The sequence below is a fragment of the Homo sapiens genome, chromosome 9, assembly GCF_000001405.40.
Source record: "Homo sapiens chromosome 9, GRCh38.p14 Primary Assembly".
Classification (NCBI taxonomy): Eukaryota; Metazoa; Chordata; class Mammalia; order Primates; family Hominidae; genus Homo; species Homo sapiens.
In genome coordinates, this window is record NC_000009.12 from 95,065,338 (window position 1) to 95,081,724 (window position 16,387).

General features: G+C 47.1%; 1 protein-coding gene and 1 non-coding gene across 34 annotated transcripts in view; both read left to right on the forward strand.

Moving 5' to 3' along the window:
* AOPEP (aminopeptidase O (putative)) overlaps nucleotides 1-16,387 on the forward strand; it is a 423,526-nt gene that overhangs the window by 338,639 nt on the left and 68,500 nt on the right. For 29 of the 33 annotated variants that reach the window (NR_169862.1, NR_169863.2, NR_169864.1 and 26 more), the window contains one exon: nucleotides 15,357-15,443. Coding sequence is in view for 23 of the 33 variants with exons in the window: in XM_011519121.4 (XP_011517423.1) it covers nucleotides 15,357-15,443 (87 nt within the window). In the remaining 10 variants the exon portion in view is untranslated. Of the gene's footprint in view, nucleotides 1-15,356; nucleotides 15,445-15,634; nucleotides 15,836-16,387 lie in introns of those variants that run through there. The other 4 variants (XR_929854.3, XR_007061364.1, XR_929853.3 and 1 more) reach the window with 3 other exon arrangements.
* MIR6081 (microRNA 6081) lies at nucleotides 13-109 on the forward strand. The gene has a single exon (NR_106729.1). It is a non-coding gene; the product is annotated as a microRNA 6081 (primary transcript).

Here is a 16,387-nt window from a genome sequence, read left to right on the forward strand (position 1 = left end):
GCTCTGCCTCTCCCACCACGGTGCTGGCACCAGGGCCTCTGCCCCGTAGGACACCGAGGCTTATGAATAGGAGCAGTGCCGGCCAAGGCGCCGGCACCATCTTGGTGATGTCCAGGGGGCCCACCCAGGCCCCCTTTTCCTCTCCTCCCCTTCTCCTGCTGGCTGCCCTTGGTGCAGGCGAATCCAGGGCCTCATTACTAAGCCAGCTGGCTCACCACGTCATCATCCAGCATTGTCAGGAGACACCATTGTGGAACAGAGCCCTACAAGGCAGGTTTTCAGATTGAACATGAAAAAGAACACCATTGTGGAGTGTCAGAGTAGTGTGTGCAATTAGTGAAATGCTTTTATAGGGTAAAATACAAGGAACCAGGTCCCCCCGGGATCCCAAAAGGGCAAGTTGACACTTGCCACCTCCACCTGGCAACCCACAGAAGCTCAGCATTAGGCCGTTTCTCACAGTATGATTGCAGGTACAGGGGTCTGGCTTACTGGCCCATTGATGCCATCAACCTTAGGTTACAGATCAAGAGGCCAGATACCGATGAGTCTGAACTTTAGAACATGGCCTGTGAATAGTGTGACTTCAGGTTTTTAGAAAGCTGAGACCATGCTTGTGAGGGTCATGGCTGTCCCTTTGACAGAGCATTATTCCTTTTCTAGAGTTTAAAAGGTGGGTATAGATTGAAAAAAGGGATTGGGGTAATTGTCTTTAGTTACTTTAGACATATCTTTTTACACCATCTGCTTTTTATGATAGGAGAAAGAATAGAGTTCTCTGGTTTTATTTGTGCATTTTTTCTTTGTCTTATTTGGTTTATGAAACATTTAATCGATGTTTCAGAACATTCTTTCAAAGTCAGGACGGTCTGTCTCTCAGTACATCCTTCTTAGGGTTTTCTTTCTGTTATTCAATTCAGTGCCTCTGGAACTTTCCTGTGGAAAGCCTGCAACAGCATCTCCCCTGTTATACTGTGATAAAGGGATTTTTTTTTTAAAAAGCTGATCTAAAATCACAAAGAACTTTCTTTTTTAGATAAATAATTTCCTGTGTTGTTCCTGAAGATTGTGTTTTGTTTACTGTGAATTTATAGCAAATGAAAGTAAAGAAGAAGCAAGCCATGGACAGCATAATCTGGCTAATTTTTCTTAAATGGTCAGCTTAGCATTTATCTGTTTAAAGAGAGAGGGCATTTAATAGGTGGCTTTTAGCTACAGGTTCAGCCAGACTTTATTAGAAAAGCCACTGGTTGCAGAGTGTCCCTGCCGTCTGCTGTTTGCACAGGGTTCAGCAGTGGGCCCACTGTTACCGACCTCTGAAGATGTGAGGGCCTCTGTGTTTGCTCCATAGGGCGCTCTCCAGTCTGTATAGATTTTCTCAGAAAGATGGAGATGGAGATTTACACATTCTCTGGGGTCTAAATAGCAGTGCCCTGATGCTCTTCTTCCGGTATAGCCAGGAAACCAGCAGCATCTCATATTCATTGTGTGTCCAAAGGCTTCTCGAGTGGAATTAATGCATTGGACTTTAATTGGTGCTTCTGGGTTCTTTACAGCTCAGTCAGTAGTTTACATACTTTTGTATTGGATTTCTGTTCTGAAATCCACACCAGAAACCACACAACTTTCTTTGAACATTGCCGTCTCTTTTTACAATTGTAAACTTAGCCATATTCCCATTTAAAGTATACCTTAAATGCCCTGAAATACAGGGCTCACTCTGCCACAGCTCTCAACATAGCTTTCCAGGTGGCTTTTCTGCCTTCTGGTGGCTTTCATGTACACCATCTTTGCTCTCTAGAACTGTGGCACACCAGGATGTGAGAGGTGGATCTGTCTGGACTTCAGGCTGTGAGAACCTCACAGCACAGATAGGATGTGAGCTTTACCCCTTGTGTTCAGGCCGCTCGCACGGAGTCAGCTTGCGGAAGCACGTTCCCAGGCCTGCTCTGCGTGTAATGGTGGAATTTTGTGTGGATGGCAGGGTATGATATTTAGAACATAAACACAGTAGAGATTGGCTAAACTTTGTGGGGTGGCACTAAAAATGATTTTTAGGCTGTTCAGTCTCTGCATATTGCTTTGCTGCAACCTTGAACCACATGGAACTGTGTTCTGTAGACCACCTGGTTTTGCCCATCCATGGGTGGAAGCAAATGCCCAGGCTGGGCACAGGAAGTTCCCAGGCACTGAGGGAACCAGCCAGCGCAAAGCTGACTTCATGGCCTCGGCTCTCAGGGCACCAGGTAGTTTTTCTCGAGAGTAGACTGTGTAGAATAGTACCCTTCGCTGAAACAGCCTTTCTCAACTTGGTTCTTAGGGTGAGGGGTAACTGTTTTTAGTAACTTTTTTGAGCTATAATTCACATACCATGAAGTGCACCCATTTTAAAGTATACAATTCAGTAGTTTTTAATATATTCACAGAGTTGTACAACCATCACCACAATCACTTGTAGAACATTTTGTCATCCCCAAAAGAAACCCAGTACCCTTTGGCTGTCATCCCTAGCTCCCCAGTCCTAGGCAAGCACTCATTTTTCTGTCTCTATAGATTTGCCTATTCTGGGCCTTCACATAAATGGAATTATATATAATATTTGGTCTTTTGTGACTGACTTCTTTTGACTTAGCATAATGTTTTCGGGGATCATCCTTCTTTGTAGCATATATCATTACTTCATTCCTTTTTATTGCCAAATATTTTGAGTCATATGGATGGATGGCATTTGTTGATCCACACATCAGCTGATGGACAGTTAGGGTGTTTCCACTTTTAACTATTGTGAATAATGCTGCTAGGAACATATGTGTGTACGGTTTTGTGTGGACATATGCTTTCATTTCTCTTAGGTATATTCCTAGGAGTAGAATTGCTGGATTATAACCCTTGTTTAACCTTTTGAGGAACTGCCAGTGTGTTTTCTGCTGTGGCTAAACCATCTTACATTTTCTCTAGCAGTGAGTATGGGTTCGGCCTCCACCAGCACTTGTTGTCCGTCTTTTTTATTTTAGCCATCCTGTTGGATGTGACTTGGTACCCCACTGTCGTCGTCATTCCTTTTTTTCACGTATTGACTAATGGTGTTGAGCATCTTTTCATGTGCATATTGACCATTTGCATATCTTCTTTGGAGAAAGGGCTAGTTAAACCTTTTGCTCATTTTTAAATTGGTTTGTCTTTGTATTACTGAGTTATAATAGTTCTTTATATAGTCTAGATACGAGTTCCTTCTCAAATACAGTTTGCAAAAATATACTCTTATATGATGGTATCCCTTGAGGTATAAAAATTTTCACTTTAATGAAGTCCAGTGTATCTCCTTTGTTTTGTTGAAAATCATTGCCAGGGTCATGAAGATTTATGCCTGTGTCTTTCCTAAAAGTTGTATAGTTTTAGTTCTTTAGTCTCTGGGGTTTATTTTTAAAAGCCTGTTTCTCTAGCTCTTGAACAGAAGGGTATCAGAAGAAATAGCCACTGAGAAGAGAAGGGGGAGGGAAGGCTGAGTTTCTTTCATGGAGTAAAACGTGATATGGCTAGAAATTGGCGGGGCTCAGGATGCCCCCTTTGAGTGGTGGGTTTCTTTTCCTTTTTTAGGCCTCAGTGTGCGTGGCCCTTCTCAAGGAGCTTTCTATGACTGCGCTCCTGCCACAGCCCTGTTCACTCCCTGTTGCCTCATGCACCCTTTCGTGGCTTTTGTTACCAACACGAGTCTACACTTGCTGGTTTACTGGATTTTTCTTAAACTTCCTACTGAACTGTAAGCTCCTAGAGGACAAGTGCTTATCTATTTTAGTCACCATTTTATCCTCAATGCCCAATCGACTTACTTGCTGGAGAATGATGTTACCCGGATTTCATGTCTGACACAGCAAGGTGATGGGAGAGAGTCAGCCATCCCTCAGACTTGGGGAGGTCCTCCAGGCTGAATTCACCTCCAGGGAAAGTGAGGGAAGGGGACGAGTGTCTGCAGGGCTTATTAGAGGAGGTAACGATGGTCACTGTTTCTGCCAGCAGTAAAAGTCCCTTTCAGCAAAGGCTGTGAGTTACATGTCAATAAATTGAAGAAAGAAGGTAGGGTGTATTATTTTCTAATTTCAGAATTACATATTGAGATGGATAGCCATTCAATGAGAGTCTTAGTATGGAAGGAAGGCAAACTGTGCCATATTTCAAAGTGAACCCCACATGGGCTCCCACGTTGTACTTTTTGGAGCCTTTAATAGCACCAGTGTTATTAAATAAAAGAGCCTATTTGGAGGAAAATAAGAAGCATTCCAGGTTTTCAAAAGTAGTTAAGATTTGTCTAAGACCACACAGGTGAAGCAAGGTTGCCTCTTTTATCATACTTGACGTTTGTATTTGACATCAATATTTGATGTTTGTCATCACACTTGACCCTCACCATGATCTCCATGTGCATGTCGAGTGTGATGGCCCTGGTAGCAGTTGAGCAGCACATTGCTGCTGCTTTAGCTCTAACCAGTTAAGGTGTAGACAAGAGCTGTAGGAATTGACTCCAGCAAGGGTGGTAAGAGCCTCCAGTGCTTCATTTGTCCTCTTAACCCTGTGCCTAGGAATTTACTAACCTGGCTTTGCGGTAGCAAATAAAGTAACTTTTAATTTCCTTTAGTTTAAAAAATAACATTCAGATTGCAGCCCTTCAGAAATAAGGAGCAGAAAAGGTGAGAGAGAAAAGAAAAGAATGAAAACACAAATGTGGACAGCCCTGATGTGATCACCACACAGTGAAAGGTTCTTTTCCTCTTTCCATGGGACTGAGCAGGTAGACGGCCTCCACCTGTCCAGAAGCCCCTGGGGCAGTCCCCCACTGGAATGCCGTTTGCCCTGTGGCTACTCTGCAGAGGCCCCCCTTACCAGCCAGTCAGCCCACTGTAAAGTCAAGTTAAATCTAATTTAAGGACACAAATTGACAAAGCAGGTTTGTTTATTGCAGGGTAGACTTATTAACTTAGAAGAGCCATGAGCCCTGGTCTTTCTGTTTACAGAAATAAAATGGAACTCTAAATGAGGTTTAATGGGCTTCCCAGATCATGTTCCCTGGACAGATTTTTTTTTTCCTTCTTCAACAGTAAATTTGAAAATCAAAAGGACTAAAAATAAAGGGGAGTGCTTCCTGTTATAAATAGGACTGGTGGCATTCTTCAAAGCATTTTATAGCCTCTAACTGTGCATTATAATTTCAGAGTGGCTGAAAAGCATTCCAAGTTTTCAAGTGGTACGTTTACTCAGAAGCATTTATCAAGCATGTACTATGTGCTGGGCATTGCGACAGGCCCAAAGATGGCCCAGAGGCCCATGCATGCCCCAGACTTGCATGATGCTGTAAATAAATACATCAGACTAGCGGAGAAGGACACGGCAGTGCAGAGAGCAGTGGGAGCTGGAAAGGCTGCAAGCCCAACTCTGAGAGTGGCCGGTGGGGGCACACTGGGAGCTGATCTCTGGGCTGCAGAGGTGAACTAGGAGATGTGGACGCGTCAGATCACTCAAGTGAACCTGGGTCTGCTGGATGAGCTGTGGCCACAGCAATGCCATCTAGTGTCACAGCAGATTTCCTTGTACCCTCTGTCTGCTGGCTCCAGCATAGCTTTCTTGTTAAAAGGCTAAAGGCTACTAGGACACACTTGAGACTTTGTAGTGTCATCAGAAGACGGAAAGACAGTGAGCTGTAGTATATTAACAGAAGGGCACCATGCCAGTAAATGCAACAGTGGCAGGCAGGGAGAAGGAAAAACCCAAAGTAATATACAGGTCAAGTCTTCCTTATCCAAGATGCTTGAGACCAGAAATGTTTCAGATTTCAGATTTTTTTCAGTTATTAGGATATTTGTATTATACTTAACTGGTTGTTTCCCAAATCTGAAAACCCAAACTCTGAAATGCTTCAAAATCCCAAACTTTTTGAGTGCTGACATGACCCTCCCCCCGCCCCACACACACACACAAAAAAATGCTCACTGGAGCATTTCAGATTTCGGATTTTTGAATTTGGGATGCTGAATATATATCTGTATCAATTGTTGCTGTTGGAAACATCAAAAGTGAATTTGACATGAATGGCTAGAATTTCATGTACATTGGGTTCCGTATTTATGTATAGTCATCTGCTTATAATTTTTAAATGTTTAAAAATAAAGCAAGGAAAGCAGCTACCAAAAGGAGCCATACGTGCTTTTCTAAGCATGGTGACGAGCATGCACCAAACTGAATCCTGGCTCCAGGATTGCCGTGGAAGAGACAATGAGGCCATTCCTGTCTTTGGTCTTGATGGTTTTTGGTGGTGGCACCGCAGCTCTTGGAACCAAGTTGGGTATACTGGCTGAGTTCTTAAGAGCTCATCTGCTCTGTCTCGTGCCTGTAGCCATGTCTGCTCAGGCCCTTGTGAATGATGTTTATTTTTCAGGCAGAGTAATTTTTCTGTAAGACACTGGTTTTCAGACTCTGTCTCCAGTATTGGGGTACTCTAAAGACACAGTGCCCCTTTTTAATGAGTCTGATTCAAGATGAATGCCAGACCATGTTTCCTTGTACAGAGGAATTTGACCTGCAGAGGGAAGAATAAGGCCCAGGGTGTCAGGACTAGCATTAAGGAGCACCTCTGATTTTCTGGTGGAGTCGTGCTAAAGCTGGCCCAAACCCACTCGGGCCGTTGTTCACCTTTTGCCTCATCTCTGTGTTCAGTGACATCATGTTGGTGGATGTTGGGGGATGAACACCAGTACACCACTGTGTATGTTGTGCTCTGGGAGCCATAGCTTGGGCACCCATTCTAGAGCAAGGATCAGCCAACCCCAGCCTGAGCCTGTGCAGCCCATTGCCTGTTCTTGTAAATAACGTTTTATCCAAAGGCAGCCATGCCATGCCCACGTATTTACATGTTGTCTAAGGCTGCTTTGACCAAAAGGCCAAAAGTGCTCAATATCTGGCTCTTGAAGGAAAAAATTTGCCAGCCTCTCTTCTGGAGTTTACCAGGAATCTGGTTCTGGACACATGAAGATATCTTGGGTTAAAAAGAGATTAGGGGCCAGGCTTATGTTTGTAATCCCAGCACTTTGGGAGGCTGAGGCGGGATCACTTGAGCCCAGGAGTTTTTGTATTTTTTATAGAGACAGGGTCCCACTCTTATCCAGGCATAGTGGCATGCACCTGTAGTCCCAGCTACTGGGGAGGCTGAGGTGGGAGGATCACTTGATCCCAGGATTTGGAAGCTGCAGTGTGCCATGATCATGCCATTGCACTCCAGACTGAGCGACAGAGTGAGACTCTGTCTTAAAAAATATTATTTTAAAAAAGAGATTAGAGTGGTTCAAGTTGTGAGGAAGCTTCAGCAGCTTTCCTATTTCCAAGAAAAAAAGCAATCAAATAAGGGTGAGGCCCCTTTACCATATCCTAGTTAAAATTATTGTTATATCATAGACATGCCCGTTGTCACGGGACCTGTGTCCCAAATCCAAGATGTGGTTTCTAAATGGCCCTTCTAGGCATGTGCCATTTTTCTAGCATTGCAGGAAGTCAGAAGAGCAGGCTTCCCCCTCCACTGTGTTTCTGAGCCTTCCAGAGTTCAGCTCCATGGAACCTCTTGGGTAGTGTGTGATAAGTTTCCTGTAAAGGCAGAAGTGGAGTCTGGCTGGGGCTGAGGCTGGGGCAAGGCTAAGGGAGCCATCTTTACAAATGGTTTGCAGGATTCCCAGGTGCCTGTCCCTGGGTCTCCCTCCCAGGAGATGGCCTGAAAAGCTGTAGCTCTTCCCAGGCCCTTACTACTCCTGGGACTCCCCTGCTCCCTCTGCTGTCCTGCTGCGAGTCTCTGACCTGGCCCAGGCTCTTGCTCAGCCATGTGGTTCCTACCTCCTACCTCATGCCAGCCCAGCCTGTCTGTGGCCCTCCCTGCATGTTGACGCTCTTCTAACCCCCATCTTGGGGAGCTGGAGCTGGAGTGGGGCCTGGTTAGAGCAGCTTGCCTGAGCCGACGAGGGTCCAGCCTGGAGCATCAGGCTCTGGAAGCCGAGCTTGTATGTAGGTTTTCACACTGTCCGGGAGTCAAGACACAGTGGGTTATGAAATCCATCTAGTAGGTCACCAGTCAGCATTTTAAAAAAAGAAAGAAGAGGCCGGCGCGGTGGCTCCCGCCTGTAATCCCAGCAGGCCGGGCGCGGGGGCTCCCGCCTGTAATCCCAGAAGGCTGGGCGCAGTGGCTCACACCTGTAATCCCAGCAGGCCGGGCGCGGTGGCTCACACCTGTAATGCCACCACTTTGGGAGGCTGAGGTGGGTGGACCATTTGAGGTCAGGAGTTCAAGACCAGCCTGGCCAACATGGTGAAACCCCATCTCTACTAAAAATACAAAAAAATTAGCCAGGCGTGGTGGCACATGTCTGTGTTGCCAGCTACTTGGGAGGCTGAGGCAGGAGAATCGCTTGAACCTGGGAGGCAGAGGTTGCAGTGAGCCGAGATCGCGTCACTGTACTCCAGCCTGGCAACAAAGTGAGACTCGGTCTCAAAAAACAAAAAACAAAGAATAAAAATACCAGACTGCATTGCGTGTAGTGAAGGAAAGTGTTGGGAAATAACACTTTGATTTCAGTGTGTGTCTATATGTTCTACATATACACATTTGTGGATACGTATGCACACATAGATATGCATACGTGTTTGTACTGACCATCACTCTGCCCCGCACCATTTCCCAGTGCCTGTCATGCAGTTGGCTGCCATGAATGTGCTTGGAATCAGTGAGCCCCATCCTCATAGCCAGTGCCTGTGTGTGTGCTTCCTTCCACGTGCTTTTTGGATACCCAGGTTGCATGTCTGCTTGGGCCTCCTAGGTGGCTCAGGCCTGTACCACAGACATACCCCGTCCTCCCTGTGGCAGTCTGTCAGTGGGGTAGGGTCCACAATCCTGGAACCATTACTTGGATTCCTTGAGGATTTTAATTCTCTACTGCCAGATATGTGTCTGATGTGAATTGGCTTCCACATACCTGCCCTTCATTCTTCCCACCCTAGATTCCAAGACCCTCCCACCTGCACCCAGCCTCAAAGAAGCAGTTGTGTGGAGCACTCTTAGGAGAAGCTGAAATCTTTGCTGTCATTACCCTGTATTCATGGAGGCTTTGGAAACCCGGAAAGTGCTGAATCCCTTTCCAACAGTATAAATTGCGCCTCTGTGTTACCCCGACCTGTACGCTAAGTGAGGGCAGCACTGTCATTGTTTCTGTTGAGCATGTCCCGTAAGCAGAACACTTTGAACAGCAGATGTCCAAAGTAATTTTTATTGGACTAAAGCATTCAAGGGTGCACACCTGTGTGTTGTGCAAAAGTCAACTTCACTGTGATGACATGGAAAGGATCCAGAGACCCAGATGCCACTTCTTCTTGCGAGAGCTGTGCTGATTTATTTCATATGTGAGCTCTCGCCCACTTCCGGCAGGTCAGGAGGCCAGCCAGGCCCAGGCCGCACCTGCTCTTCCCCCTCCCAGGCCACCTGCTTGTCTGCTGCCCAGCGTCAGCACCGGCAGCGGCAGAGGGAAGAGATGAGCACATCCTTGATAGGTGAGGTGTTGGGTGCTTGAGAGGCTGGATCCAGGGCAGAGGTGTGGGTGCTGCAGGTGTCCAGGACCCTGTGCTCACTGCCACGGGCAGCTCTGTTCTCACTTCTCCGTGCCCTGTCCCTGTTTCCCTTCTGCCGTCTTGTTCTTTCTCTACTTGCCCAGTCTCCTTCCCTCCCACACCAACTTCATCATTTTCCTCCCTCGCCCCTTTGGTCATGGTCTGCGGTCTGGGTCTGTGTAGGGCTGAAATACATGCTGACTCTAGGCTCTCAGGTGATTCCTGGCATAGATTTGGAGTGACTTGATGAATTTTAATCACAGTTTTAAAGGTCATTAAATTTTTCAACTATATTGACAATAGAAATATAATAAAATGTGAATATTTGAAGTGTACCATTTGATTACTTTTGGCATATGTACCCATGAAACATTAAACATCAATGAAGAGAACTGAGAAGCCAGATAACTGTATGCAATTAAGAAATACAAGCAAAACCGCCATGAACAAAGTCAGACAGATTGACAAACCTGGAAAAAGCTGCAGTTTCATCAAAGATGAGCTAATTTTCCTAGTACTCAAAAACACTCAACAGATTAACTAGAAAAAGCCAGTGATCCAATAGGAAAAACATGGTAAAGAATATGAATAGACAGTTACTAGAAAGGATTTTATGCACATGAAAAAAATGCTCGGACATGGTGGCTCACACCTATAATCCCAACACTTTCGGAAGCTTAAGGTGGGAAGATGGCTTGAGCCCAGGAGTTTGAGACCAGCCTGGGCAACAATAAGAGACCCCATTTCTGCAAAAAGTAATTAAAAAAAAATTAGCTGGGTGTGGTGGTACATTCCTGTAGTCCTAGCTACTTGAGAGGCTGAGGCCAGAGGATCGCTTGAGCCTGGGAGGTGGAGTCTGTGGTGAGCCACTGCAATCTGGATGACCGAACGACACCCTGCCTCAAACAAACAAACAAACAAAAGAAAGCAGCCATACTCAACTGGTAATAGAATGCCTAAGCTGCCCCGATGGGGATGGGGGCTCTCCCGCTCCTGCAGGCTGGCAGCCCCTCCCAGGGCTCTAGCTCTCTCTGTTCCAGAAATAGCCTCACACCTCTTCAGGCCAGTGGGTAGCTACCGCTTCCATGGTCTCTGGTACTTCACCGTACCTGGCTGGTGTCCATAATACTGTCCCCACCTTTCTAATTAGTCCCTTCCTCAAGTTCTCTCTTAATTAAAAACTAAAGGACCTCATGGACACCATTTTTCACTTATCAAAAGTTTGGTAATTCAGTGGTGGTGATGGTACAGGAAGGTGGGGTCTCACGTCGATTTTGGCAGGAGTGTACATTGCTACACCCTCATGGAAGGCAATTTAGCAGCCTCTCAAAGTGAAGATGTACACACTGATCTGGACACCCCACATCTAGGAAGTTGCACACAGATACCTCAGGGCACCGGATGACCCACACCTTGTGTTTCATTGCATCAGAGGTTGTTTTCAGTCTTTACTGTTAGGATGTAAACTTGTGTCTATCTGTCAGGGTCTCGCTAATCTTAGCATTATTTGTAGTATCATAGACTACCCTGCAACCATTAATACAAGGAATGGGGAATCTCTTCCTGCACTCATGGGAATCGTAAGTCAAGATATCCTATTAAATAATCAATGTAATTATATAAAGTAAATATATATCCTTATCAGGGTACAGAGGAATGCAATCCATGAAGTTATCTTTGTTAGGAGGAAAAGGAAAAATACATTGTGTGTGTGTAAAACACACTGGCCCAGTGGCCACCTGCACAGTAGGGACTGAAGGCAGTCTCTGGGCATAGGGATGAGGGGAAGACCTTACCGTATTTTGTATATTAATCTAGAAAAAAGGATTCTAAAAAGCTGAGAAATAGAAATTGACTTGTTTTGGGGTGTGATTCATTTGCTGATCAGTCTCCATTTGATTGGGTCTAAAATGAAACAGTTACATTTTTCTCCCATCCCTATCCCCAGCTGGACTTTGTCCAGTCTCCTAGGGAGCCAAGCCCTTATCATAATTTCAGATTTAAAGTTCAGATCTCCAGTGCAGGTACCTTGTGGCTGGGGAAGGGTCTGATCAGGTTCTTCTCCTGCCACCTTCCAGGCCTGGGGAGGAGAGGGGGAGGGGACACTATCTCTTGGTAGGTCCCTCTGACCCTCACAGCTGCTCCCCTGCAGACGGCCCTCTGTGTCCTTTGTGGCAGGCAGCCACAGCTGGCTGTCCCCAGGAGCCCAGGTTATGTGTTTCTCCTGCCAGCATCTGCTTTCCTAGGCACGGGACAGCACAGTGCTGTGGCTCTGGGGGAGCCTGGGCCAGCCTCCAGCACTGCCCCGGCTCCCAGACAGGGTGGGAGCAGAAAGGCAGCCAGGAAGTGTGGCTTTCACCTCTGAAAAGCAAACTCCTTCCTAATCGTGCAGAGAAGACAACTGCCCGGGTCCACAGGGAGGCCGGTCGCCCCGCCAGGATGCTGCGGGGTGGCTGGCGACCAGAAGAGACAGTGAGGAGTGCCCACTGGTGCCAGGCACCGTCCTGGGAGCATGCGCTGTCCCTGTTTATTTTTATTCTGACTGAGGAAATTACAGAAAGACACGTTGACCACCCTCGTTAATAAATTAAGAAATAAGAGCAGACCTCTAGACTGGACAGCTGTCCTCTGGTGGCATGCTGTGGAACTCTGTGGCCCCACCTCTCTGGCCCGTAGGGCTTCCCTGCTTTCTCAGCTGCGGAGGAACTTGATGCAGGAGGGCAGAGCATCTTTCACGACCTTGAAGCCCCTCGGTGGTCTGGAGACAGATATTCTGTCAGGGCTCCTTTGGAAATACTGCTGGGCTTAAGTGAGACTGATGTCATCCCCACTCCCTGTGGTGACGAATGGCATGCGAATTGTGGGTCCTTGAGAGTTTGGGGGATAAAAATAAGGATTTTCTTTGTTTCTCAAAGGAACGAAGAAAAGTGAAGACTGCGCGTGAGCAGGAACTATCTGGCCTGCCCAGCCTCCCGCAGCATTTCTGTGATGTCTTCTCAGCATCCTGTCGCCGAAATATTGACATACACTTAGCTCTTTATAATGAAAAGACTTGTTTTTATCTTCTCTTGATGGGGTGGGAAAGGGAGTGGGGGTGGGAGACTGGGCTTGGTCTGTCCTTCCTGGATGCTGTTAGCCTCCAGGGGTCAGAAGCCTGGGTCTCTTATTAATCTTGACAGTAAACTATTTCTAACAGTAAGAAACGTGGAAATACTGACTTCAGATCCGTGGTGAAAGAGCCTCTTCCACCCGCCATCTGGACCTGCACCAGCTGTGGGCTGCCGCTGCCTCCGGCCGCCACCGAGGGCCTTGTTCTACTAGGAAATAAGCCCCAGTTTATGCTTCGTTGTTTCTGTGTGTGTAAATAAGATGAAGGAAAGCACAGAAAGAAAAGGAGAGGCGAAACCCTCCATTCTCACAATCAAATCTAAATTGTATAATGTCCTCCAAGTTTTAGAGTGACAGCAGTCATTGCCAAAAGTGTGGTGTGGTCAGATCAGACAAGCGTTGGTTGTTAGAACACTTTAAAGAACACTTAGAAACCGACAGGTCTCACGCACGGGACCCTCCCTAAAAGCTGGCACACGTAGGGTTTCTTTTGTGCAGTTAAGAAAATAGGCTCTTTCCCTAAGTCTCAGAGCAGCAGCTCCTGTCCCCAGCTGTCGCTCCCATCCATATGTGGCCATCTCGCCAGACCACACCAGCTTGCCTGCAAGGCCCTTCAGCCTTGGGGAGCTGGTGCCCATCTTCACAAAGCTCGCAGCAGATGACACCTCTGCTGGTGTGTGGACCTGGCAGTTTGGTGGCACATTTAGGTGGCTGTGAGTTGGAAGAGAGATGAGGGACGGAGGCGTCCAGCGGGCAGTTTGGGTTCTCCACAGCTGGGCGCAGTTTCTTCTAGCGGCTTCCTCTGGCATGGGATGGTGAGCTAACTTCTTTGAGCTCTGGTCACTTGTTCTTTCTGTTGGGGAGGTGGAGGGACTCTTTCTTGTATAGTGTGTCGTTAATTTCTGTTGGCTGTACAGGAAAGCACATTTTGTTGAAGGTGGAAAGATTTTGCCGTCCCAGCCTCCTTCCCTTTTGCTCTGAGGGCAGAGGCTATCAGCCCCTCCCAGAGGCATGCCACTTCAGCACTTCAAAGGGCCTGGCTGCCTGCGAGCCCAGGGCCGCCCAGTGGAATTCCTGAGTTAACACCCGTTCTCAGAGGGCACTGTGGCCTGGGGGAAGGATTCTTTCCAAAAGATTGGTTTCTCTCCTTCAATCTTAACTGTTTGCATGTAAACCTATTTAGAGTAGATTAAAGGAGAGATCTGGCTAGGTCAGTGGATAATGATGTCATTTACAGGGGCCCTCGCCAAAATGTTGACATTGCTTACATTTAATTATTGCTGCAAATATATTACTATAGAGTATCTCCCTCTTTCACAGTCAGTAAAAACAAGGGGTGATAGAAGGAGGCTCTTCTAAAATGCACATAATCACTTCTATGTATGGCTGATGTTGGTTCAGTGATGGAGTATAAAATGGTTGACGTGGTATAACTGAGAGTGCTTTGATGCAGTAGAAAAAGGCAGGGGACTGGATTCTGAAAAACAAGTGGTAGGTGAATCTTCTTGTAGAGCATGTGCCTGCAGCACCGAGCAATGCCGCCTGCTCCGGGATGTGGGGAATACCTTGCGCAGGTGGTTCTGCCTGTGTCCAGAGGGCGGCCAGGGCTGGCATCGGACTCTTCCACTGTGTCCGGAGATTTGAAGAGGGTGGGAGTGGGGGTTCCTTCCGAATTCCTGCAGGTGAACGTTTAATAAAGTGTATCTTTTAAAAGAACAGCATCCACCTTTAGCTTGTCTGTTTTCAATGTTGTGCAAACCTACACACCTGTGGATACACAGCAGGAACTATCCACTTCAGGGGTGTCCTGGGCTTACTCCTTCCCCAGACTCTCAGAAGGGTGCTTTGCCTCTTTCGGGGAATTAGAGAGCAGTGTCTCCGCCTCTTACTGTGTTTGTTACAAATCAGCAGCACTGAGTCAAATCTGCTGCAGGAACTTAAGGAGTGGTGATTTGAAAGGGAACCCTCACTCACAGCACCCTGAGGAAGGAGCACCAGCAGCCTGGTCGGAATGTGCATTGAATTTCCCGTTATGCTTTGCGTTTAGTATCTGTCATCTTGCAAAATCATGTTTAAAACAGTGAAACACCCAACAGAAACACCTGCTTTTCTCTCTAAAGTTGACCAACAGCCCTAATTAGCACTGTGGTTTCTTTCTTTAAAAAGTAAACTTACTGCACGGTGGCTGACGCCTGTAATCCCAGCACTTTGAGAGGCTGGGGCGGGCGGATCACGAGGTGAGGAGATCGAGACCAGCCTGGCCAACATAGTGAAACCCCGTCTCTACAAAAATTAGTGGGGCATGATGGCAGGTGCCTGTAATCCCAGCTACTTGGGAGGCTGAGGCAGGAGAATTGCTTGAACCCGGGAGGCAGAGGTTGCAGTGAGCCAGATCGTGCCACTGCACTCCAGCCTGGGTGACAGAGCGAGTCTCTGTCTCAAAGAAAATAAAAAGTAAAAAAAATATACTAAAAGAAAATGTAAAACTAAGTGTGTCAACAATGCCAGCCCATTTGAGAGCACAGCTTTCCGGAATACAGAGGCTGCCTGTCACTGGGCCCGGTGGGCTGGGATGCCTGCCTGCTTGTCGCTCACTGGGCTCTCTCTTGTTCCTCCAGGTTCGCCATCGGTGGTGTGAACTCATTGTTAAGCACAAGTTCACGAAAGCCTACAAAAGTGTGGAGAGGTTCCTTCAGGAGGATCAGGTAGGTGTCATCTTTCAGCAGATGGGGATTCTGTAAAGGCTGTCCCTGCACTTCACACAGGAATCCACGTTCTCAGTATCTCTTTCATAACAAATAATTAAATCTGTTACAGAGATTCTTAAGGACTGGTGGGATCTTGCCTAACACTGATTTTTCTGAGCTGCTTTTTTCCTCTCTCAATGTCTTTGAAGGATTGAGTTGAGCACCTTCAATGCCGCCTTGTGGCCCACACGTCATCCGATGCTGCGTGCTCACACTTCACGGCATCTCCAGCACCTGCTAGGCCATGCGTGTCCCTTGGTGACGCCGTGGGGTAGATCCCTGATTTCAGTGGCCCTCATTTAAAGTACACGTGCAAGTCAGACTGGGAGAGCCCCGACGGGACAGTCTCGGTCTGTACCTGCACCTGCCGTGCTGTGCTAGGCGGGTTTCCTTCCTGTGAGAGCTTTTCTCACTGTTCACCAGGGACAGCAGTCACCTTCCTAGGAGTTCACAGGCAGTGCGCATGTGGGAGCGGATCTGGGGAGACCTTCATTGGCCGCCTCTGATGTCCGCAGTGTGTCAGGTCACCAACAGGTGTGTCCTGTAACACGTCACAGCCTCCCACGCCTTCCCCATTTCCCCACTCTCCACCCCCTCTGCCTCTGAATGAGTGGCCTGTCAAGCACTGTGGGTAACAGCATGGAGCTGCCTTCCAGCTGGGGTGGAGAGTGGGAGTGAGGCAAACAAAAGGACTTTTGATAGGGTCTCAGTGTGGGGGACAGCCAGCCAGTGAGGCCTGAGGCCTCATTATTCCTACAAAGAAAAGTACATGCCTTTGTACCAGAAGAAATGTCACATTTGCACAGCAGAGCAAGAGGTATCTGGAAAAACATACAGGAGTATAAGAAGGACAAAATTTAAGAGCAACTTTATGGTCTGTTCTAAAGACCAGAATTCACTGC